This window comes from Homo sapiens, chromosome 16, assembly GCF_000001405.40.
Source record: "Homo sapiens chromosome 16, GRCh38.p14 Primary Assembly".
Classification (NCBI taxonomy): domain Eukaryota; kingdom Metazoa; phylum Chordata; class Mammalia; order Primates; family Hominidae; genus Homo; species Homo sapiens.
In genome coordinates, this window is record NC_000016.10 from 50,535,180 (window position 1) to 50,559,775 (window position 24,596).

Below are 24,596 nucleotides of genomic sequence, written 5' to 3' on the forward strand. Positions count from 1 at the left end.
TAGACACATGACCCAAGTTCCACCAATCAGATTCCTTCCCTAGGACTTTTTTCACCTGAGCTGGGGAAGAATTATCTTTTCACTCTCAAAGCAAGGTTGTTAGGTTCTAAGACTGAAGCTGCTCTTTATCTCTTCTCCCAACACCTGGCTTACATGAGCCCATAAGTTTCCCTTCTTCTCGGACTAGTTTCAGTTGGGTTCTGACAGTGTACCTTACAATCAAAAAGTCCTGAAGAAAGCGTTACTTTTTGATGCCATTGTAATAATGATAATGAGAGCCGCTTTATTATATGCCTCCGGTTTGCCAGGTTCTGTGCCAAGAGCTTCCATATATTATCTCATGGCTTACCTCGACCTGTAGTTATTTGTGTGCCTGGTGGCACTCCCCGACTGCACCTAACCTCCTGGAGGTTGATTTCATCTCAACATTGCCCAGGGCACCCCGCTTGGTGCCTGTCCTGCACCTGGTGCATGGCAGCCTGACAGCCCCTCAGGGGGTCACCTTGGAGGGTCACACAGAGACGTGCAGTCCGTCACCACACGTGTTCCACAGGTCACATGGAGTTGGCCCTCTGGCCAGAGGTTGGCTGGGGACTGATCTTCATGGGGTGGCTACATAAAAGTGGGAGCCCTCCCCACTCCTGCCTCTCCTGCCGACCCCAGCCTCAGCCCCTTCTTTCCTAAGCAGCCTTTTCTATTATTATTTTAACAGCTGGCTCCAGAATTTTTTCTGGATACTGTGTAGAGGGTATGGGGAATAAGGAACTTGCTGCTCCTGCTAAGCCACCCGGGGTGAAGGTGAGATCTCCCTAGGGCTCCAGCTGGCTTGTGGAGGAAGAAGTAGCATCTATGCTGGGACTGACAGGTGGGCAGGAGTCAGGAGTTGGGAGAGCAGAGAGGGGAACCGCACAGAGAGGACCCAGGCTCAGGAGGCTGCGTGGGCACCTGAGGAACTGGCCAGATGGTGGAGCTCAGGGAGGCCTGGGGTGCGAGATGAGGAGGAGCCTGGACGTCCCAGCACTGGCTTTCATTATTCTAGCACATCTCAGGATTTTTTAAGAATAGAAAACCTGGCATTTATATTGGCAACGAAAAATGCTTGAAATCTAAATTATTCTCATCTGAAGCTAGAAATATCCATAATGGGCCAGGTGTGATGGCTCATGCCTATAATCCCAGCACTTTGGGTGGCCGAGGTGGGTGGATCACCTGAGGTCAAGAGTTCGAGACCAACCTGGCCAACATGGTGAAACCCCATCTCTGCTAAAATACAAAAATTAGCCAGGCGTGGTGGCGGGTGCCTGTAATCCCAGCTACTTGGGAGGCTAATACAAGAGAATCTCTTGAACCCAGGAGGCAGAGGTTGCAGTGAGCTGAGATCGTGCAACCGCACTCCAGCCTGGGTGACAGAGCCAGACTCCATCTCAAAAAAAGGAAAAAGAAATACCCAGAATGTTACATGTGCACTCAAGCACTGAATTGAATGAAGTACTGGTTTTGGTGGTAACTACAGCTTTCCATTGCTTAAAACCCTTTCAGGCTGGACGTGGTGGCTCATGCCCATAATCCCAATGCTTTGGGAGGCTGAGGTGAGAGGATCATCTGATCCAGGAGTTCAAGACCAGCTGGGGCAACGTAGCAAGACCCCATCTCCACAAACTTACAAAAAATTAGCTAAGTATGGTGGTGCATGCCTGTAGTCCCAGTTACTCCAGAGGCTAAGGCAAGAGGGTTGCTTGAGCCTGGGAGGTTGAGGTTGTAGTGAGCTATGATCATGCCACTGAACTCCAGCCTGTGTGACAGAGCGAGGCCCTGTCTCAATCAATCAATCAATCAATCAATCAATCAATCCTTTCAAAATATCTTATTGCTGTTTAGTTTCCATTTTCCAGGTTTTTAATGAGGCTAAGGAGCTTTTCAAAGGTTCACTCTTCCTGCCTAGCCATTTGGGCTGTGTAGTTCAAGAGGATCTGTAGCATCTTTTTACAAAGAAGAAGGTTAAGGCGTTAGGGGAGGAGCAGGGAGAACAGGAGGAAGGAGCTCCCAGGCCCTGTTTTCAGCCCTTCCTTCCCCTCCTCTTTTCTTTTTTGAGGCCTGCTCCATTCTCTTAGGGCCTGACCCTGACCTGCCAACCCCAGATAAGGTGTTGTGACTAGGCCCTCCTTCCCCCAGGGTTCCCCCTGGAGAGACCCAAGGCAATGGATGGAGGAGCATTGGCCCCACCCCATCTCCTCACCCCACTTAAGGGAACAGCATCTGAGGACAGGTGGCAGCAGGTAGTGTGGCCCCACCTCACTTCACATTGCAGGGAGCTCTGTCACTTTGCTCCTTTGTTGCAAATGCCATTGGAAAGGCCAGTGCTGTGCTGCCTAGTGAGGTCTTCAAGGTGTTGGCCGGATGCTTGAAGAAAGTGGAAGCCATGGAAGGTTGTATTCAGGAGAGGGGCATGGCCCCTTCTGAGCATGTTTCCACTGGTGGGAGGCCATAGAGAGAATGATAAGGAAGGAGAATGAGGCCACGTGGATGACAGCTAACCCCTGCTGAGAGCCCATTCTGAGCCGTGCACTGTATGCCATTTACTGGCAAAAGAGCATGAGTAGGTGGTCAAGGTCGCCCAGCTGACAAGTGACAAAGTCAGAGCCATCACATTTCACCTGAGATTCCTCCCCAGTTGTTTCAGGCATGTTCGATTTGTTTCCTAGCAATAACTTTGCAAGGATGGTCCTACTGTCCCCATTCACAGATGGGAAAACTGAGGGCAAATGGTAGAGCCAAGTAATGAATGTGTTCTGCTTGGTCTTTACTTCTCATGGATACTCAAGGAAGGCAGCAGGTCTGGGCAAAGAAGGAAGGTGTTTCTTCACCAGAAGCAAAATTTGTGTTGGAAAAGGGATCTTAGAAAAGCCCCAGCCTCGACATTCCTGAGCTCAGCCTCAGGGCTTTATACATACTTTGATGAACACTTAATATGTTGCAATTTTTCTGTTCTACCACAGGGTCAGCGCATACAGTTGTATAGGTTATGCACTGCACAACTCATGGAGTTCCATGGCCTAAACCTGAGGGACCCATCTTGCAGTCTCTGAGATGGTGTGGAGTGGCGTCCACAGATGAGGGCTTTGCTGACAAGTAGCGGGGTTTGAATCTAGTCTTGGTTACTGGGTCGAGGAGCTTTTTCTATTCTCCTTGATCCCATTTCCTCATCTGTGAAGTGGAGATGGTATCATCATCTCTTCTCCCTCGGGGACTGTCAGGATAGCAGGAGAGAACACACGGCATATGGCCCTTTACACAGGGCCTGGTACTAGTGGGGCCTTGGTAGAGTTCAGTTTCTCATACTTCTGTCTCTCTGAGTGGACTTGAGGGCAGGCAGAGGCCCTGTCTAACTCATTCCTGCATCCCCAGCGCCCAGCGCTGTCCTTGCACGTGGGAGGGACTAGGCACCCATTTGCTAAGGGACCAGAGAAATCATGCTGGAGGCAGAGAGGGGATTTGGGGAACACTGGGGCAGCAGGCCCCAGTCCGGCATCCCCACCCCACCTTTTCCCTCTTGGAGACAGCCTGGTCTGAGTTATTTCCCTTCCCGACACTTCCCTGCCTCCAGGGCACATTTTCTCCAGGTGAGTCCACCCAGGCAGAGGGCGAAGCCAGCAGGCACAGGCTGGATTCCTGCAGAGGCGCGCATTTCATTTGGCCTGCACCATGGCTTCACATTTTTAAAATTAGTTGCCGATATTTTACAATTTGGAGATTTCACCTAGAAACCTGGATTTCCAGCTATTCTTGAAAAATCAAAAGATCTAGCAGCCCTGGGCCTGCAGCTGGCAGCTGGTGTGCAGCAGCCACTGTTCCTTTGTGTTGGGTATATGCTGCTCAGTTTGCCACCAGATCCACCTGGTCCAAGTCCCCCTCCCTTATGACTCCTGCCCTTCCCCTGGTGAACCTGCAACCCCTGGCTCTATGGAGCGCCCGGGCCATCCCACTAACCTCACAGGTCTTGGTTTGGCAAATCATGACCGTGCCAGGGTCTTTGCCTGTGGAACGAGGATCTGTGGGGGTGCCTTCCAAATGTGCCAACCAATGCTCACGACCAAGCCTTCAGTGTAACGATCTGCCCACTTTCTCCTCCTCCCCCTGCCTCCGTGAGCCAGCGAAGCTGCTGCCCTGTTTGGGGACACAAACATACACACGTTATTAGAACCTCAGATCAAAGGCGGCGTCCTACAGCCTGCCTCTCAATGGTCCCTTTGTGCAGGCGGAAGCCTGCAAGAGAGTTAGAATCCAGGGAGAACAGGAGGGGCTGGAGGGGGGCTCAAAACAAAGATACTTGTCACCCTGAGAAGTCCGCAGAAATGATGTTAAAAGAGGCGCCAGGTGGAGGATGTACCCCGGCTCGCTGCTGGAAGATGCAAATGGAGAATTCTCAGTTCTGCAGAGGAGAAGAAAACACCCCTGTCCCTTGTGGTTTCAGAGGAAGGGGTGACAGTGGCTGCCCACCCCCTCCGCCAGCAGCAGCCTGCGTCTGCCTTCCTGGCCTCGCCAGGGGTGGATGTGATACTGGCAAGGGCTTCTTGGAACGAAAAGGTGACAGTGACCTTGTCTTGGGCACAGAGTCAGAAGAAACAAAATGATGTGGGGGGGGGGCCTGGGGAAGGCCAGGGGAAGCCGTGGGGGCAGCGTCACCTCTGGCCAGATGGGCCTGTGTGTTCAGCCCTTCAGGCCTACAGCAAAGCATTTCAAAAGCCCCTACTGTGTGCCAGCCACAGTGTGATGCGAGGCAGGAGCAGAGAGGATTAACTTGGGGTCAGGACCTCAGCGGAGGCAGAGAGGGCGACGCTGTTCTAACCAGGGCATCAGAGAGAGCTAGCATCTGCTGAGGTCCCCTCGGCTGGATGCCCTACGCATTTTACACACATTGTCTCATTTATCTCTAGGGTTGGTTTGAACAAAGAAGTGCTTTGAGAGTTCAGATGTGGAGCCAGGAACCCTGCCTGCCATGGGATGCAGGGAGAGGGGGTGGCGAGCAGGTATGGAAGAGAGGGTTTTCTAGGAGGGGAACAGAAGCCAAGAGGCCGCCGTGGTGCTGGGATGCGCAGGAGGCAGGCGGAATTCACCGGTGTCTGCGGCCTGCGACACTTGCAGACCTCTCATCTTTGCAAGGCCATGGGGCTCTCTCCTTGGCCCTCTTCTGTTCTCTGTCCACAGTCATTCCCCAGGGCATCACATCCAGTGTTGGGCTTTCAATTCCATCTGCCTGCTTATGATGCCTGGGCACATATCTGCAGCCTGCAGCTTGCTTCTGTACTCTGGGCTCATAGATCCAACTGGCCACTCAATCTCACTGCCAGGACACTCAACGGTCGTCTCAAAACAACGTGCCAAATGGAGCTCCTCTTCTTCCTTGCCTGGCAGACCAGCTCCACCCGCAGGCTTCCTCATTGCAGTTCATGGCAGCTCCATCCTTGGAGTTGCTTAGGCCCCGCATCTTGGCGGCTTCCTTAGTTTCTCTGTTTCTCTCCCACTCCACGTCCAATACATTTGCTAATGCTGTTGCCTCTAATTTCAAAATACATTCAGCGTCCAACTTCTTTTACCTCCTCCACTGCCATCACCTGGTCTAAGTCGCCATCATCTCAGGCCTGGCGCCCCACCATAGCCCTGTGACCCACACTTATTCTCAACACAGCAGCCCAGTTGCTCTGGTTACTACTCTCTCTTTTTTTGAGACAGGGTCTCACTCTGTTGCCCAGGCTTGAGTGCAGTGGTGCAGTCTCAGCTCACTGCAACCTCTGCCTCCTGGGCTCCAGCAATCCTCCCACCTCAGCCTCCCTAGTAGCTTGGAATACAGACATGCATCACCATACCTGGCTACTTTTTAAAATTATTTTTTGTGGAGACAGGATTTTGTCATGTTACCCAGGCTGGCCTCAATCTTCTGGTTGCAAGGGATCAACCCACCTCAGCTTCCCAAAGTGCTGGGATTACAGGCATGAGCCACCATGCCCAGCCACAACTCTCTTCTAGTAACTCCTGTCTTTCTCCAGGAAAGCTGAAGTTTTTGATGAGACCTATAAGGGTCTCATGATCTGTCCCCGTCACCTCCAACCTCATCTTCTCCCCAATACTCCCAAACTGTGGTCTCTCTGCTCCAGAGCCGGGGGCCTCTTTGCTGTTTCCAAAACATTCCTGGCATATCCTTACCTCAGGCCCTTTGCACATGCTGTTCCCTCTGTTTCTTCCTCATTTTCAAGTCTTTGCACAAAGCTTATCCTCTCTGACCTGTCTATCTAAAATCATTAGCTCCTGCCCTGGTATTTTTTCTTTCTCTTTATCACTTGAATTTTTTCTCCCATAGACACACCACATATTTCACTGACTTATGTATTTATTGTCTGTCTTCCTCTATGAGAATATAAACTTCATGAGGATGGCATTTTTGTCTGTTTTGTGGACACAAGAGCCTGATGTAAATTAGGCGCCCAACAAATCTTCACTGAATGACATGATAAATAAAAGAGAAGCACCCACCTTTATTTCTTGGTTGCCTCCTCCCTGACTTTGGCCTCTCCATCTCCTCCCCAGCATGGCTGCTTATGCGAGGCAAGGGCAAGCTATGTAACCTTGGTTGCTTCTGAGAAGGCTTAACTTTCTAGAGCCTCCAACTGTGTGTGGTCTATACACCAGCACCATCAGCCTCACCTGGGAGCTGGTGAGAAATGACTCTCAGGCTCCACTCACACTGCATCTCAACAAGATCCCGGTGAATTCATATGCACATTAAATTCCAGGGAGCCCTCCTCTAGGCTATTTGACCCTAGCTCAAGAAAGGGGGATTAAGAGTCTTACAGGGAGGGATCCAAGGTCAGCATATACAGTTAGTCAGGGACCAGTCTGTCTGTGTCTCTCTCTCCATGGGGTTTACTATCATTGCTTTCCCCTAATGGTTCTTACTCCTGCTTCTTCCTGCTTATTTTTCAGCCCACAGCGACCCCAAGAAGCTGCTCCAACCCCTGGGACTATGGAGCTCTACAGCTGTAGAGACCACCAGGAAGTGGACTGCAGGCCCCTGGCCTCTCCATTCAGATTCTGCAAAGAGATCCTGATGGGTTGGGCCAATGGGTCAGGCATCCAGTCAGCTCTGGCTAAGGGGTGAAGGAGTCAGGTGTTACCAACGTGGTGGCAGGGGCCACCTTGAAGCTGTGTTCTGTGCCATGGAAGAAGGAAGAGGAGGAGGAAGCTAAGCTGGAAGGGAAGGCAGGTGATACAGGAAAATTAACTATGAGCTTTGCTATAGTGACCACTTTTCCTTCACTCCTTGAGCTGTGGCCTTAAGAACTGTGTACCAATGGGAGGCACTTGCATAGTAAGTGTTCATTTGCTGAATACTTACAGAGGGCTATAAGTGGACAAATATGTCCAAAAACACATGAAACACACACCATCAACACTTGCAGATGGTCTCCTTCAGGGAACCTTTCCACACTGGCTCTCCCCTCACTGAGCTTTCCTTCCTATCACCCTCCCAGTCTAGGCTCCTGGAGTCAGTAGTTGGAATCTCAGATGGGAAGAAACCTTAAAAGTCATCTGGTCCAGTATTTTCCAAAGCATGTTCCATGAACTTGTTTTCCAGAAATGGTTTCCTGGTCTGGTGAGTTTAAGAAACCCTGCTTATGACGATGCTCTCCATTTAGAGAATCACAAAGCTTGGCTACTCAATGAAAGCTCTGACAAGTCCTGCAGGAAAAAACTTGTCTTCTTTTGGCTAAGCTAGGGCTGCCCAAAGTTTCTCATGGAGTCCTTTCTTGCACATAATAATAGCATCTCACAAACCAGTGGTCGGGGGAACCCATTACGGGAAATGCTAATCTTCTGGACCCTTCCTTCTATTTTATAGGTGGAGAGGCTGTGTGGTGGTCTGGTTGGCTGCATGTAACTGAAAAACAAAGGCTTAAAAAGATAGGGGCTTCTTTTGCTCTTTTGTTAACAAAGTCTGGGAATAGTCAAAGACTGGTACTGTGACTAGAAAGGCTTCTGATATGGTTTGGCTCTGTGTTCCCACCCAAATCTCACCTTGAGTTGTAATGATCCCCATATGTCAAGGGCAGGATCAGGTGGAGGTAATTGAATCATGAGGGCAGTTAATCCCATGCTGTTCTTGTGATAGTGAGTTCTCACAGGATCTGATGGTTTTATAAGGGGCTTTTCCCCTTTGCTCGGCACCTCTCTCTCCTGCTGCTATGTGAAGAGGGACGTGTTTGCTTCTCCTTCTGTCATGATTGTAAGTTTCCTGAGGCCTCCCCAGCCATGTAGAACTGTGAGTCAATTAAACCTCTTTCCTTTATAAATTGCCCAGTTCCGGTATGTTCTTGTAGCAGCCTGAGAACGGACTAATATAGCTTCTCTGCCCAGTGTGAAGAAGAGCAGAGAGGCAGGGCTGGGAGGAGAACAAGGCACCTGCCAAGGAGATGGGGAGGCTGGGCTGGCTTTCCCTCTCCTCCAGGCTCACCTGGGAAGCCTGTGCTCTAAACTTGCTCAAACATCCTGAACCCAGGAGGAGTTGGTGGTACACAAATTCAATTCAATTCAACCCCACATCCAGACTGTACTCAAGCAGCAGTCTTTTGGCCCAGTCATCTCCAACCTCATCTTCTCCCCTCTACTCCCAAACCATGCTCTCTCTGCTCCAGAGCCAGGGGCCTCTTTGCTGTTTCCAAAACATCCATGGCAGTCTCCACTTCAGGGCCTTTACATGTGCTGTTCCCTCTGCCTTTAGTACCCAAACAGAATGGCTTGGAGACCCCAGCCCTAGTTCTTGGGGAAGCCCAGCCTCCTCCATCTCATATCTAAGGCCTGAGGCCTCCTGGCTGCCTCTGGCTCCCATCTTTTCTCCTGCAGGGTATCTCCACTGTGAAGATTGCTGTTGGCCCCATTAATTACCTGTAGGAGTCATCTTTCTGATTCCTTAATTTTGTCCTGTGCCACTAACCCAGGAAGTGGCTAGGATTTTGCTGAGGGCTTGGAGTAACAGAGGAAGAAGAGAGCACTGCCAATCGCATGTTAGAGCTCACTGTCCCAAAAGTGAATTGGCCAGTCCCCACCTTGCTGGCTGTGCCTTCTTAGGCCCCATTATCACTCTCTTCTCATGCTGTTTCCTTTGAGATCTTTGTTTTCCCTTCCCTCCAAAATGCCTGATATTTTCTCAGGCAGAGTAGTCTAACTTTCCCCTCCTCACCCAAACTAGGCTTCCAGGCCCTTTAGCAATGCCAAAACTCACCAGGGAACTATAAAATAAAGCAACTCCAGGGATCCAGGAGGAACCAGTGGAGACTTGGGAACTGATTTTCTCCTTCATATATCCAAGATCGTATTATTGGCAGTACTCCCTCCTTATTGACCACAACATGCTCCTGGCTGAGGCTGGGCAGAGAGAGTTTGTCTCCTTCCACAGCAGGTGTGATGGCACCTGCTATAGGCAGTGCTGTGTTCGGCATTGCATTCAGAGATGCAAGTAAGGCAAGAACCCTGGCCTCAAGGAGCCCTGGCTCCAGGAGTGAAACTTAGCCTCATGCATAAAATAAGTGGAGATGGGAGGGGGCAGGGAAACCTTGGCTAATCAGAGCAGAGAAGAGCCCTTCAGGTTGGAAGGTCAAGGAGGGCTTCCTTTAGGAAATGGCATTTGAAGGGGCCAGATCAGATGGCTTAACTTCGGGGACAAGCTTTGGAGCAGCTAACTTGGGTGATGTAGGATTTTTTTTTTTTTTAAATCTCCCAGCTCTATGTCTGACAGATTTCACCTAAACCAGCCTTGTTAAATCTCAAGCCCCATGAAACCCGTTTCTGTTATAATCTCTCTCTCTTATCTCTTCCTTGCCTTCCTTTCCCATTCTCCTCCCCCAAAGGATAGGAAATCTTCAAAGAAAAAGATGTGTCACTGCAAGTATACAGCCCAAGAAATGGGCCAGATAAATTATTAAAACACACGAAAAGACAGTGAGTTATGGGGTGGGAAGCCCTCGGAGGCCGAATGGCCACCCCAGGTAGACAGCATGCTGGTGGCCCCTGGAGACCCCCTTCTCAGAGACCTGGACAGACTAACATTTTGCCACAAGGCCCATCTCTTGGGTTCTCACCCCAGATCCGGGTAAGGGTATCATGATTCCAATAGCAGTGAAGTCCCAGGCGCCTGCTGGGCTGGGAGGCACCAGGGTGAAGGTGGAGGGGGGCTTTGTGTCTGGGCTGGACATTTGGGATTTACTCCCCGCAAGACTCAAACTGCTAACTGCAGTTTTAGTTCTTGCTTTTATCTCTTTTTGAACTGTAAAAAGAAATTCCCAAGGGGAAGAGGGGATACTTTTTTCTCATGGAAGAAGAAAGCCAGGACCGGTTTAAGAAAGTAACCAACTTTCTAAGCACTGTGAGAAAGGATGCTCCAAGTTTTGCTTTGATTTAGAGGCACCCTGGTACCAGCAGGGAGGGGTGAGAAAGGCAAACAGGAATTCCAGACGAATTCCATTGCCTTTTGAGGGGTCTGAAAGAGGGTGCCCACTCCGACTCAGATGCTCAAACCCCTGCCTCCCTCCTACACCTGACCCCCGCCGTTCTGCCCCACTTTTTCATGTTCCTACAGCTCAGGGGTTCTTACTTCAGCATTACCCACATTTGATGCTGGATCATTTGTTCTGGTAGGGTGGGGGGGCTGCCTTATGCATTGTGGTATGTGTAGCAGCAACCCTGGCCTCTACCCACTAGATACCTCCAGGCATTACCAAGTGTCCCCTAGAGGGCAAAATTGTTTGCTGTCAGGTCCTTATGGGATGGAAAGAAAGAAAAATGGCCTGTTACCCCTGGTGTAACTTACTACACTGTTTACTAATTCATCATTTATTGTTTCTTGCCTATCTTCCCCCTAGGTGAGTGGGAGTTCGATGAGAGTGGCAGTTGTCTATTTTGTTCACCGATGTATCTTAGGTGACTAAAACAATGGTTGTCACATGGCTGGCCCTTCATATTTGTTTCCAGATGGAAGACTCTCTTTCTAGTGGTGGAACATTAGTTTTGCACTGTGTTGGGACAACCTGATGTAGTGAAAACAAGCCTGGGCAATGAAATCAACAGATTGGAGTTCAGTTCCTAATTGGGTCATGGATGAACTTTGTGACCTTGGGCAAGTGAGTTCACCTCTCTGAGTTGAATAGGTTCCCTCCTTTCTAGAACAAGTATGAGTCTGCATCAGAGAGTGGTTGCGAGGGCTACACATGATGGAGGATGAGGACTGGCACATCAGAAGTACTGAATGAAGAATTGTAACATAAAAATGACAACAGTAATATATTTTTGTGGTTTCAGCACTCTTCAAATGAAACCACCTGGCCAACAGGATTTTAGTGTACCTGCTTATAACATTAGCCTTCGTTTCCACCAAAAAGGGTGTTAAAAAAGGAAGCTTGGAACATGAAAGTAAGACACTTGGATGAAGAGATTTATGACTCTGGGGGGCTGTGAATTCCTAATGTCCTTTTGAGACATGTAGATCTTCCAGAGCGATGCTGCCCAATGCAGTAGCCACTAGCCAAGTGCAAATGGTCACTTGCAATATGGCTAGTCTTTGAGATGTGTTTTAAGTGTAAAATACACACTGAATTTTAAAGACTTAGCGCAATACAAAGAATGTAAAATATCTCATTATATCTTGAAATTATACTATTTTGGATATATGGTGTTCCCTTGGTGTCTTTGGGGACTGGTTCCAGGATCCTAGAGGATACCCAAATCCCCAGATGTCAAGTCCGCTATATAAAATGTCCTGTAGTATTTGCATATAACCTACACACATCCTTCTGAATACTTTAAATCATCTCTAGATTCCTTGTAATTCCTAATACAATGTAAATGTTATGTAAATAGTTGTTATACTATATTAAAAAGTTTTTTATTCTTTATTTTTGCTGTATTATTCTTTTTGCATATTTTCAGTCCACAGATGGTTGATGCCACAGATGTGGAACCTGTGAATAAGGAGGGCTGACTGTATTGAGTTAAGCGAAATATATTATTAATATTTCATCTATTTCTTTTTACTTCTAAAAGATGTGGCGACAAGAAAATTTAAAATTACAAATGTGGCCCACATTATATTTCTATTGGGCAGTGCTGCTCTAGAGAGTCGGCAAAAAGGGCAGAATGGAGCCTCCATTATACAGATCACAAAACTGAGCACAGGTAATTCACTCCAAAGGTCGGGGCTGGTCTCACTCTGAGCTGCGGGTTTTCTTTTCCCACGCCAGAGCTGCCTGGTGCCAGGACGAGCGTAACACGGACCCACAGTGTCCCCAGAAGGGGGCAGGCGTTCTGAGAGCCACAAAGGTGGGGTGGAATCCCTTGATGTCGACCGCCACCATCCCCCTCCCCCCGCGCGACCTCCCCGCAGAGACCTCCCCAGACAAAACAAACAAACCCTTGGGTCTGGCGAACTGCAGCGGGGAGCGGAAACCAAGGAAGATCAAAGACTCAGCGGTTACCCCCTTCCGGGCCGCGCAGTTTGGCAGCGCGCCCCGACCCGGGCGGGCACCCACGGGCCCCCGGACGAGGAGATCCCAGAGACTGGCTGATAACGGGGCGCTTTGGACATTTGTCGCTGCCTGGAGAGGGCTGGGCTCACACTGGCCCGGGGTGCGCTGGGGGCTCCTCCTGGACTCCCCAAATAAGAAACTAGAGGAGTGCGGTGGTGGGGGGCGGGTCACGGGGCGGGTAATGAACACTTTCTGCAGAAGGTAGGTCGTGGGAAGACTGGGAAAAGGCAGCGCTGCCGAAGCTTGCACCTGAGCAGCTAAGGTCTCCGCTCCCGACCTCAGTTTCCCCACCTGTAAATTGGAGCCGCCGAGTCCCGCCCTGCCCGTTTAGAGAGAACGTGGAGCGGAGGGAAGTGACAGTACAGTTAGCGATGGCCGGGCTGTTCTGTCCCAATACGCCTCCTGGACAAGCCGCCCCGCCGGGTCGCCAGCCCTGGAGCTCGGCCCCCGGCCCCAGACCGCGGCAGGGAGCGCGGACTGTGTCCCGCCCCTCCCGTCAGCGCCCCGCCCTCGTCCCCGCCCTGCCCCGCCTCCGGCCCCGCCCCCGCCGCAACCAGCCTTGCCTTTGATGCGCCGCACCGGCCAATGGGCGCGCGGGGAGGCGCGGGCCGCGGCGGCGGGCTGGGGGCTCGGCGCTCCCGGGCGTCAGTCGGGCCGCGGCGACGGCGGCAGGAGCGCGTCCCGGCGCCGCCTCGGGCTCCGCTCGGCTCGGGGGCTGCTTCGGGAGGAGGAGAGCCAAGGGAGGCGCCAGGCCCGCGGGCCGGGCGCATGGCTTAGGGACGCTCCCGGCCGCCGCAGCCCCAGCATGGGGAAACTTCACTCCAAGCCGGGTCAGTGCCCCCGCCCGCGCGCTCGCCCCGGGCCCCGCCGCCGTCGCCGCCGCGGTCGCTAACTCTCTCCCTTCCTTTCTTTCCTTCTCCCGCCGCCGCGGCTGCCGCCGCCGCCGCCGCCTCGCGATGTGCCTGCAGCCGCCGTGTGCAAGCGCAGGGAGAGCCCGGAAGGTAGGGGCGCGCGGGGCGCAGACCTCGGGGATGGACGCGGGGGACACCGCGGCCGCGGCAGAACGGCCCAGCCCGCCAGGTCTTATGACCAGGGCCACCCCGAAGCCCCAGTTCCGGCCACCGGCCCCCCAAGCCCGCTCCCTGAGCAGCCTTCGCGCCCCCTCCTCTGTCCCTCCTACCCGCTCCCCGCGGTCCTGCGCTCCCACCGCTGACCCTCAACCCCTCCCCCTCCCGCGTCCCTGCCCTCGGCTCTCACGGCACCCTCTCTTCAGACCCCCAAGCGCCTCCCCGCAAGACCCTGCCCCCTCTTCCTGCCCCCCGGCCCTTCTTCCGATATCCTGGCTCCTGCACCTACTGCGGCCCCTCTCCTGACCCCCAGCCCTCTCCTCCGCAGTCCTGGCTGCCAGTGCTCCCTGGTCTGATCCTAAACCCGTCCTCCTGGGGTACTGCTCACCCCTCTTGCCCCCTTCTGGCTCCTCGCTCCTAGGGCTTCGCTGAACCCCCCTTTACTTACCCGCGTCCCTCTCTTGGCTCCTGCCCCAGCCCGCGAACCCCCTCCTGGCCCCCGTGCCGTGGTCCTTCGCCTCCCACCGCGCCTCCTTCTTCCCTCCGCGGGGGTAACTTTTGGCACCTGGAGCCAGACTCAGGGGCTTCATGTCGTCCCCGTCCCAGGTGACAGCTTCGCCGTGAGCGCTGCCTGGGCTCGGAAGGGCATCGAGGAGTGGATCGGGAGACAGCGCTGCCCGGGCGGTGTCTCGGGACCCCGACAGCTGCGGTTGGCGGGCACCATAGGCCGAAGCACCCGGGTATGATTCCCCACCCCTGCCCCACCTCCTGGCCTCCTTTCAGCCTCAGAGATGGGTCCCCAAACCCATGCACCCCAACTTTGAGCACTTTCCTGCACAGCTTCTGGGTCTGAAAATCTCTTCTCAGCTGCCCCCTGCCCCACCAACGCGACCCTCTGCCCGCATGCCTTGGAGAACCTCGAAGTGCCCAGCTGGAGGCAGAGGGCTGCCTGGGGGAAAGGTCCTAGGTGGGGAGGTGGTGAAGGTCCAGTTGATGGGGAATCGTGTCTGTACCGGCGGGATTTGGGGGCCTGCTCTGACTTCTACCTTGTTTCTGCCACCAGCATTCAAAGGTGGAGGTGGAGTAGGGGCTAGAGAGAAGGGGGTATTAGGGGTGTCTGGGTGGAAGGCAGAGCTGTGCTGGCCCCAGGATCTGAATATGTTCTGATTGTCTGTGGCATTCATCAGTACCACCTGTACAGGAACCCCAGTAGAGCAGGCGGCCCTCTGGGTAGCAGATCTAGGGGGACTGAGACCTGGAAGACCCCTTACTTGGCATATGAGATAGAGGGCCTCATTCCACTGTAGCCTGGGCAGAGCCCTGAGCCTTCACCCCGTGTGTCTCTGAGGCTGGAGTTCCTGGAGGAGCACTAAGTGTGATGGGAATGAGTGAGTCCAGCCCCAGCTCCTGGCCTGGGACTTGGCGTTCACAGATGTCCTGTGAGCTCCGGAACTCTGCACGGGGCTTTCAGGCAGTCTGCGTGGAACTCGCGCAAGCCTAGGATCAAAGGATGAATCAACTTTTTGATGTGACATTTAATTTTTTTTTTTTTTTTTAACTTAGAGGGGGAATAGACTGAGTCTCAGGTCTGGTTAGTTCTTTGGTCTTATCCATGGGCTGGGGAGAGGCCAGTGGAGACTTCAGATGTGTTTGTATTTGGGTGGTGGGACCTGGCAGCTCGCTTGCAGTGCTGGTGTCGGGAGGTGGACCTGTGGATAAAGTCAGTTCCTGTGTGTGGATGAAATAACCTCTGGGCCTAGGAGAAGCTCCCCTGTCCTCCTCCACCGCCACTGCTTAGCTGGGGGCTTCTCTGTCTTCTGTTGGCCGGGTCGGACTTGGAGCTGCTGTCCCCTAGTAAAGGTCAAATCTTGGTGGGCGGGGGGCACTGCAGTTGGGGCCCTTTAAAAAGAGAACTACAAACCTCTCCTTCTTCCCCTGCCCTTTCTAGTTTTTGATCTACTTATTTATTTAAAGGCCAACGAAAACGGTCTAATTTAGCCGTATGAACAAATGCATTTACAGCTCCAGACAGAGGCCAACTGAGTGGATTTCCATTAATCAAGTTTTGGGTTTTTTCAGCCTGTTTATTTTTACAAAGTATTCCTGCAGAATGACATTTATTTGCAGTCCCTCCTTTTTCTTTTTCTTTTCTTTTTTTTCTAAACTGCCAGGCAGCTTGCTCCATGCTAGAGGGAAAACTTGAAATACAGCGAGGGCTTACTTCAATTGACTTTTATCTTCAAAGCCATAACAAATGTTACCCGCATGTTTTTGGTGGGTCTCCTTGGCATCCAGTCTGGGAGGATGGGAGGGAGGAGGAAAGAGGGAGAGGAAAACAAAAGTCTGTCGTTTTTAATTAAATAGTAGTGTTCCCAGCGAGAGGAATGCAGGCCACTAAAGTTGCCATTGGGGGAAGTGAGGGAGGGTGGGGAGGGGGCCCCAGCTTAAGTCTGTGGCTTTGGTGAAGTCACGGAATTCTGTTGCCTAGTTTCTTCCCCCAGCTGAGGACAGCATGGGATGGTGCCTGTCCCCCTCTCTCCCTCACCCCCTCTCTCAGAGAAATGCTGAGAGGTCATTAATGTTTGTTCAAAGTACTTTTGAAGATGTGAGGCTCAGAGCCGTTGGCATGACATGTGTCAGGTGGTTGGAGGGTGGGCCGCAGCCATCAAAGTTGTTATGCAGGGGGCCGGCCTCTGTCTCCTTGGGAGTTGTTCTTGCTGCTGGGGACCCAGACGCCTGGGTTTTCACCAACCTTGGCCCCAGATGGCCCAGCCAGTGTGTCTGCAGAGGTAGGGATAAGGAGTCAGAACTTCAGGGGGAGCCCAGGGTGTGGAACAGCACTCCAGGCATCCTCCAGGTGATTTCAGGTGGAATCTGGGGGAACATTTTAAATCTTAATAGTTATCTTTTTTTTTTTACCAGAAAAAAAAATAACTAGGACATCAAACCCATGATTTTGCAGATTTTATTGCTTAGGATGAAGCTAAGTTAAAAAAGAGTCTAACGTGAAGTCCATTCAGAGAAAAATATTAAGTACAAGTGGTCAAAATTGTGAATGTGGGAATGGAATGCCCCAAGTTTGGGAAGCACTAAGATATTGAACAGGACAGCAATGGGCAACCCTCAGGCTAGTTCATTTCCCTGATTCCCTCTGGTGCCGAAGGGGTAGCTGGTAGGTTCTTCCATGATATCATCAGGATGTAGGAGGGCATGGGCTCCAAAGTCTGCTGGTTTCCAAGGGCTGGCAGAGGTCCTCCCACCAACCCCAGGCCTGTTTTGGGGCTAGTCTCTGCCTCTAGTCCTTTACGTGGCCTGTCAACTAAGTGGCTGGAGACACAGTGGCTCATCCAACTAGTATTATTGTTATTGCAATGATAACTAGTATTTATTAAGTGCCTATATGTGTCAAGCACTTTGCTTACATTATCTTAATCCTCCCCATAACCTTGTAGTGTTGACAGCCCGCTGGTGTGGACTGTGTGTTTCTCCCTTTCTGGAGCACTTTCTAGGAGAAGCCATTTGTAGAGAAGCCCTGTGCCAGGGCATCCGCCTGGAGGGTGCTACATACAAAACTCCCAGAGAGGGGGTGCTTCGAGATGAGCCAGTCGTGGGGCAGGCAGAAGCAGGAGTGGCCCCTGTTTGCCCTCTTCCTTCCTGATGAGGTCTGAGGGGCTTGGGAAATGTCCCAGATGAGTCCAAGTTGCCTGCAGGGTCCTGAGATGTGAAAGGGTGACCATGCTGGCATTAAACTAAGCCTGCCCTCTTAAATACAGAAATAAATGAGGTCAGGCTCTGTCCTAGTGATTTGTCACCTGTGCAAACCATTTTGCCCTTGTATACCTTAATTAGCTCATCTGCAAAATGGGTGTAATAATATTTTCATCCCTGGCGGGTTATGATGGGATTATAACTGTTGAACCTGGGAAGGAAGGGAACCTACTGGGAGATTCACTGAAGACATTTGTAGGGTTGGAGATGGGGGCCTACAAACAGGGAGTGATAGGGCTGGGATAAGAATGCTAGAGGCTCTCTGCCTCCCCCACTGTCATGGCAGGCTCACTTGGAGGGACGCAGGCCAAGGGCTGGGCTTTTGCCCTTTCCATGGGGACATGAGCAAGTCCAAGGGAATATGGACTCATAGGAGAAAAGGAATGAGAAATGGGAGGCGCACGAGTACTGTGGAAGAGGAGCAATAAACTGATCAGCACACGCGGCAAAGAACACCATGTTAAACAATTAGAAAGCAAAATAAGCATCATAAACTCAGAGAGAAACGGAGGATGCTGGAAACATGAAGCAGCAACAGGCAGTTAGAGAAGAAAACCAATTGGAAACACTGGGTGTGGAAAATAGAATGGACAAGTGAAAAAGCTTAATAGATAGATTAAATAGTGCAGTGGACTCAGGTATCAGGTGGGAAACACTTGGTGAAGACCTGTGTGCCTCTGTATATGCTCACAGGCTGATTGTGAATATGTACAACCAGATTTAAAATAATCTCCCCATGGCCCCGGTTGGCCCTTTTGTTCCTTTACAGCAGAGCTGCCTGAAGAAATAGGCTGAGAGCCGTGGTGCAGGCAAGCCCGCCTCTGGATCAAAGGCGGCTGCCAGGCAGTTTGGTAATTTGACTGGGGGTACCTAGTGCACTTTGATATTTGGAGAAGATGAGGAGGGTGCAGGCTTACTTGGAGCCCATGGGGACGTGTGGGGTTGGGTGATGAGATTGGAGGCTGGCCCAGCTGTTGCCCGAGTGCCAGATTCCAAGGGAATTACCCTTGAATGATACCAGTTGGCACAATTAAAAGGCCCCATGTCTTTGCCATATGGAAAGTGTTAGGCTTCTTTACGTGGTTTCAAAGCTATGTGATGGGAGGTGGGCTTGACATTTGAGGTAGAGCATAAATTAAATATTTGGTGTTTCAGGATTAAAAGATGATTTGCTTTAAGGCTGGAGAAGGACTCAGGATGGAGGTGTTTGGGCCTTGTTCACTGGCATTTTCGAGTTCTCCAGGGAGGGTCCCCTCTGCTCATGGGCACCAGGGCCAGCTGCCTGGCCCAGCCTGGGCACTGTCTTTCCTCCTGGGGGATGGGAGGCAGAGGCTGGGAGAGCTTGGGCTGGGCAGAGTGCTGGGGAGTGGGGGGACCTTCTGGTTTTCCATAGGTCCCTCAGGATGGGTGGGTGGCGGCCATGGGTGTCATCTTCTTAGCGCTTTAATGGGTCTTTGTGATGTGGTCTCCGGTAGAGGCTTCGAGGAGTGTCTTGTCCTCACTTTGAGACTTTTCTTCTTGGGGAAGGAGGCTGGATGCCCCTGAGCCAGACTGTGCATGCCTTCTGTTCTCTAGAGCCCAAGAGCACCCTCTTCATTCACATTTTTGTAGGAAACCTGGGGGAAATCAAATCCAGGAGGCACCTGCTGTGGGTCCTGCAAGGTCCTAGAACTCAGGGGATGTTTCCTCTGCTCGCCCAGTGGGGATGTTGGAAGGTGGGGATGGATGGATCGATGGACAGTGTTGTTGTTTGTACCAGGAAGCTCAGGTACACTCTGGGATCAAACTGTCCCCGCGAGGGCAGGAAACATCAAGGCTGAACTGTCAGCAGCAAAAAAAGAAGAAAGAAATGAAGATAGATTAGGTCACCCTCCCTGCCTCCTTTTTCCCCAGCTCCTCTTCCCTGGTCAGCTTCTTTCCTTTAATTCCTGCTTCCAAATTCCATCTTTTCCCAGGTCCTTCTGTCTGGAGTGGAAGGGTGGAACCAGGCTTTTTCTTTTAGGCACTCAGCTTAATGAATTAGTATAAATTATTATCAATAATTCTTTGTTTATTATTATTATTTTTTAGACACATAGTTTCACTCTGCCACCCAGGCTGGGGTGCAGTGGCGTCATAGCTCACTGTGGCCTCACAGTGATCCTCCTGCCTCAGCCTCCTGAGTAGCTGGGACTATAGGTGCACGCCACTGTGTCCGGCTAATTCATTTTTATTTTTTATAGAGATCGGGTCTTGCTTTGTTGCCCAGGCTGGATTGAACTCCTGGCCTCAAACCATCCTCCCACATCAGCCTCCCAAAGTGCTAGGATTACACATGTGAGCCACCACACTTGGCCTTGTTATTAATTATGAATTAATAAGTCCCTAACTGGGCCAGGCTCTGGGGATACAGTGGAGAATAAGAGAGATGTGGTTCCTGCCCTCCTGTGGCATCCAGTCTGATGAAGGGGACAAAGCAGCAGTGAGTACCCAGGCCCACTCCTAGGACCACACAGAGGCACTCTGGGAGGGAGGGGGCAGGATGGGCCGCTGAGGCTGAGGAGAGAGGAGGAAGGAGTTGGAGGTGGGGGGAAGAGCTGACCGAGGCCCCAGGCTCAAGCTGCCCTGGTAGGATGGGGTTGGGGATTGCCGGGAGGCTTCTGTGTGGAATCAAGCGGGTAATCAAGAAGGGAATGTGGCCTCCAAATGGCTCTGCAGCCTGTGGGAACTGGAAGTGGTTCCTGGCACTGTCTGTGGAAAGCCTCGTGCATTGGTGGCTCTTGGCACATCTGAGTTACCTGTCTGTCCCCCTGGACAGGTATGTTGGGTGGAGCAGGGCGGGCAGTCAGCGAGCGTGCTGCCCCTGTGTCATGGACAGGTCCTTGGGGGCTCAACCTGGCCTGTTGGGGTTGGTGGCCCTGCTGTTGTGTTGGGGGAGGAGGTCAGCTGCAGGGCTGGAAGCTTAGCTGTCAGGGCTGCGGAGGACCTGTGGGGTGAGGTTGCTGCTCAAGAAGGAGGCTCTTCAGGGACCAGGGAACAAGAGGGAGTGACCAGCAAACCCCAGAGAGAGCTAATCATGCCCCAGAACTGCAGCGCGCCTGTGCCTATGGAAGGAGGGTCCCCCATGTGGGCTGAGCAGGGCTGTCCGAGACAGGATGTGCAGCCCCCCGGTACTGGTGAGCTGGGGGGTCCTGCAGCCCCATGGCTGCGAATCACAAGATGCTTGGATTTAGACACTTTTGGACTTTTCACATCACTTGTTGGATTCCAAACCAGGCACTTCTGGCTGCCTCCCTGCCTTCCCTCTCTCTTGCCCACTCACACGTGTTCTTTTTGCCGCTCTTGTCTCTCACAGACGTTCTTTCTCTTCCTCTCCCTCCCCACGTCCCTTCCCCCCCACCCTCTCCCTGAGGAAGGAAAAAATTCAGTCTCTCACAAACAAAATATCTGCCATTCCATCGGAGGGAGAACTGAGGCAGGAGCCCAGAATATCCTGGAAGGAACGCAAGCGAGAGTTGAAGGCCTCAGTTGTTTAATCTGGAAGGAGGACTTTGATGTCACCCTGCTCCGTTTATCCTGGGAAGCTTCCCGCTGCTTCATGGCTTCGACTCTCTGTGTGAAAGATGGCTGAGCTCCTCCAGGGGCTGGAGGCAAGCCTGAGCAGCTCCGAAGGGCAGCCTGGTGATGCTGCGCTCCTGCCAAGCCCAGGTGGGGTGGAGAACCTTTTCTAAACAAGCACTTCCAGAGACATAAGTAATTCTTTGATAGCTTCCTGGGAAGGCAGAAGGGAGCTGTTTAGCCTTGTGGGCACCAGTCGTGGGGCTCTGGGAGGAAAGCCTCAGGTCTCCGCACTGAAGTCATCCCCAGCCTCAGAGCGGTGGCGGCTTGGCCCGCCGGGGTGGGTCCTGGATGTGTTTGTTTAGAGGGCTCTGAGGCATGGGTCTGGGCTTTGCTTTCCTTACTTGTTAAGTCACATGGGCTGTGGCGTGTGCGTGTGGCCGACGCCTTTCAGAGGACACCAGGGTACTGAGAGGGCTTCACATTGGTGTGGCCTCAGCCAAAGGCTCCCTGCCTGGGCTTCAGATTCTCCAGCTGAGAAGTAGAATAACATCATGATAATTTAGCACTATCTATTGAGTGCATTCATTCATGCATCTGCAGTAGGGTTTTTTTTTTTTTTTTTTTTTTAAATTTAGAGACAGGGACTCACTGTGTTGCCCAGGCTGGCCTTAAACTCCTGGCCTCAAATGATCCTCCTGCCTTGGCCTCCCAAAGTGCTGGGATTGCAGGCGTGAACCACTGTGCCCAGCCTTATATATATTTTTTAACTTTTATTTTAGGTTCAAGGTACATGTACAGGTTTGTTCTACAGGTAAATTGTGTGTCATGGGAGTTTCGTGTGCAGGTTATTTCATCCCCCAGGTAATAAGCACAGTACCCAACAGGTAGTTTTAGATCTTCAGCCTCCTCCCACCCTGCACCCTCCAGTAGGCCCTCATGTCTCTTGGAGTGGGCATTGAGTACCTGCTTTAGGCCAGGGACACCTGTGCTTGGTACCTAGAGTGAAGGCCTTGATTTCATGGAACTTACCATCTTGTAGGAAAACAGAAATATTTTCATAAACAAGTTGTGCAATTTAAGTTGTGATATGTGCCTCCAAAAAGTACTGGATGTTTTGAGAACATGTACCAGGGATCAGAACTCATCTGGGGTGTTTTTCATTCCACAAATATTTGACTGCTTTATCTATCCCACGTGCTGTGCTTAGGGTGTTGTGGAAATTGTGAGGACTAGGACATAGTTCTTGCCTCTGTGAGAGTGGAACTAAGCTCTCCCCATGGCCTTTCATCGATTTTTCTTCTCTTATTGCATTGGTTAGAATCTCATTGCATTGGTTAGAATCTCATACTCTGTTTAATAACTACCAAGTATGATACTTTTTGTTTAAGAAAGCTTCCTTCAACTCCTGGCTTTCTGAGCTTTGTAAAATCAGGAATAATTATTGAATTTTGTCACATGCTGTTGGGATGCAGATGGAATGCATCATTCTTTGCTAATGTGGTGTGTGATTTGTATGCTTGATTTACATTGCTGGATTTCCTAGTGCAACCTTCTTGGCCCTCCGAAATTCTTTGTCATGATAGATTATTCTTTTAAATGTGACCGCATTTGATAGGCTAATATTTTACTTTGGATCTTTGCATGAAGTACTCAGTGCAAGTTAACTGTTAAAGTTATAAAACCATAAGGGAAGCACAGGGCTGTGGAGGTTGGGGAGGGTTTTTTTGAAGGAAGTGGGCATGTGAGTAGGGATTTGAAGAATGGTAAGACTGAGATCAGGGGTTAGAAACTTAAGGACCTACAGGGGCCAGAGAGGTCATATGAATGAATGCCACAGGCTCAGTGGGAGACATCTGAGAGGGGTGGGAACCGGGGTGCCCCCGGGGAACACACACCCTGCCTCAAGGGGGCAGTGCCACTCAACCCCAGCCAATCACTGCCATGTGGGAATATGGCCCTGGTGTTGCCACACGGGCTGATCATTAAGAAAATCCAGCTGTCTGAATTTTTATGTGAAACTTTTCCAATTTAAAAAATTATTGTTAACCAATTAAAATTTTTAGAAAACACCTTCTTTGGGTGACTCAGACGACTGGATTTGGCCTGTTAGTACACTGGCTTGTGTTTGCTGATTTAGACCTTTAAGATTCTGATGGTGGTGGTGGTAGAGAAGCAGTATGTTAGTGATAAAAGGACACACGAGTGAGTATCATATGGACTCAACATTGTGCCTAATACTTTCCATGCATTCTCTTGTAGAATCCTCACAACTGCCTTAGGTATTATTCCGCTATCGCATAGATGAGGAGGCAGGCCCAGCAAATTAGAGTCACTAGCCCAGCCAGGGAGAGCTGGATGCAGGCTGCATCCAAGGCAGAGAGTGCAGGCCAAGCAAAGGCTCATTGCCAGGAAGCTGTGCACAGTGTATTTCAGTCTGGTGGGAGAGCAATGTGGGAGGCACAGGAAGGGTAAGTAAAGATGTGGGCTGGGATGGGAGGCCGAGGTTGGTGGAGGCCGAGGTTGGTGGATCACCTGAGGTCAGGAGTTTGAGACCAGCCTGGCCAACATGACGAAACCCCGTCTCTGCTAAAAATACAAAAAAAAAAAAAAAAAGAAAGAAAAGAAAGAAAAAAAAAATAGCCGGGCATGGTGGCAGGCACCTGTAATCCCAGCTACTTGGGAGGCTGAAGCAGGAGAATTCCTTGAACCCGGGAGATGGAGGTTGCAGTGAGCCAAGATCGTGCCATTGCACTCCAGCCTGGGTGACAAGAGTGAAACTCTGTCTCAAACAAACAAACAAACAAACAAACAACAAAACAAAGATGTGGGCTGGGAGACTTTATGCTGAAGACCAGCATGTGCCCATAGAAGGTGCCAGAGGTGTGCTTAGAACTTGCAGAATCAGACTTCCTGGGTCTGAGTCCCAGCTGCACTTCTCCCCAGCTCGGTGGCCTTGGGCCAAGTGATGGCTCATCTCTGATTCTCAGTTTTCACATCTGTGGAATGGGTAGAGTAATGGTTCCTACCTCATTGGGTTGTTTTAAGGGTAGAAATGGGTTCATTTCAGCAAGTTAAAGAATAAAGGAGATGTCACCCCTTCTTTTGCAGCTTGCCAGTGTTGTTTGCTAGTGATCACCTGGATGTGTGCTCAGTGTGGTACCAGTGTGCTAAGTGCAGTGAAGGAAAAGGATGGGGAAGGAGAATAACGGAGGATTCTACTTCAGATTAGGGAGTGATGCGTAAGTCGTTAAGACCCAAAGAATAAATAGGAAATAGCTAGGTGGGGAAAGGTTTATTAAAAATATTCCAGGCAGAAGGCACGGGATGTGCAAAGGGCAAGAGGCATGCAGGGTTGGTGCACAGAGAAAGTGTTCAGCCTCCTTCTCGGTGTCTGACTTGGAACCACATTCCAGTCTCTGAGGTGTTAGAGCAGAACTATGTGGTGCAGCAGCAGGGAGTGGGCAGTGCCTGCTGGGCTGGGTGGTACCACTGTATGTTGCATCCCGTCATGAGGCCTTGTCTCCTTGCCGCAAGTCTTCCATGAAGTGTTACTGGTGTCTGTGGACTCCAGCTTTCTGGTCAGGTTGGAAGAGGTAGGGAGGAGAACCTCTCAGTCACAAGAAATAGTGTCACCCTGGAGCGGATTGGCTGG

General features: G+C 51.3%; 1 protein-coding gene across 1 annotated transcript in view, besides 2 other annotated features; it reads left to right on the forward strand.

Moving 5' to 3' along the window:
• Nucleotides 12,860–13,309: a silencer, noted in NCBI's record as "silent region_7486". NCBI's record gives its function as "represses an Ori minimal core promoter by ATAC-STARR-seq in GM12878 lymphoblastoid cells {active_cell/tissue: GM12878}" and the evidence as "EXISTENCE:reporter gene assay evidence [ECO:0000049][PMID:35858748]".
• Nucleotides 13,217–24,596, forward strand: part of NKD1 (NKD inhibitor of Wnt signaling pathway 1) — a 100,854-nt gene continuing 89,474 nt past the window's right edge. The window contains exons 1-3 of the mRNA NM_033119.5: nt 13,217–13,399; nt 13,538–13,570; nt 14,243–14,376. Of these exons, the coding sequence (NP_149110.1) occupies nt 13,375–13,399; nt 13,538–13,570; nt 14,243–14,376 (192 nt within the window). The 5' untranslated portion in view covers nt 13,217–13,374. The remainder of the gene's footprint in view (nt 13,400–13,537; nt 13,571–14,242; nt 14,377–24,596) is intronic.
• Nucleotides 13,350–13,539: a silencer, noted in NCBI's record as "silent region_7487". NCBI's record gives its function as "represses an Ori minimal core promoter by ATAC-STARR-seq in GM12878 lymphoblastoid cells {active_cell/tissue: GM12878}" and the evidence as "EXISTENCE:reporter gene assay evidence [ECO:0000049][PMID:35858748]".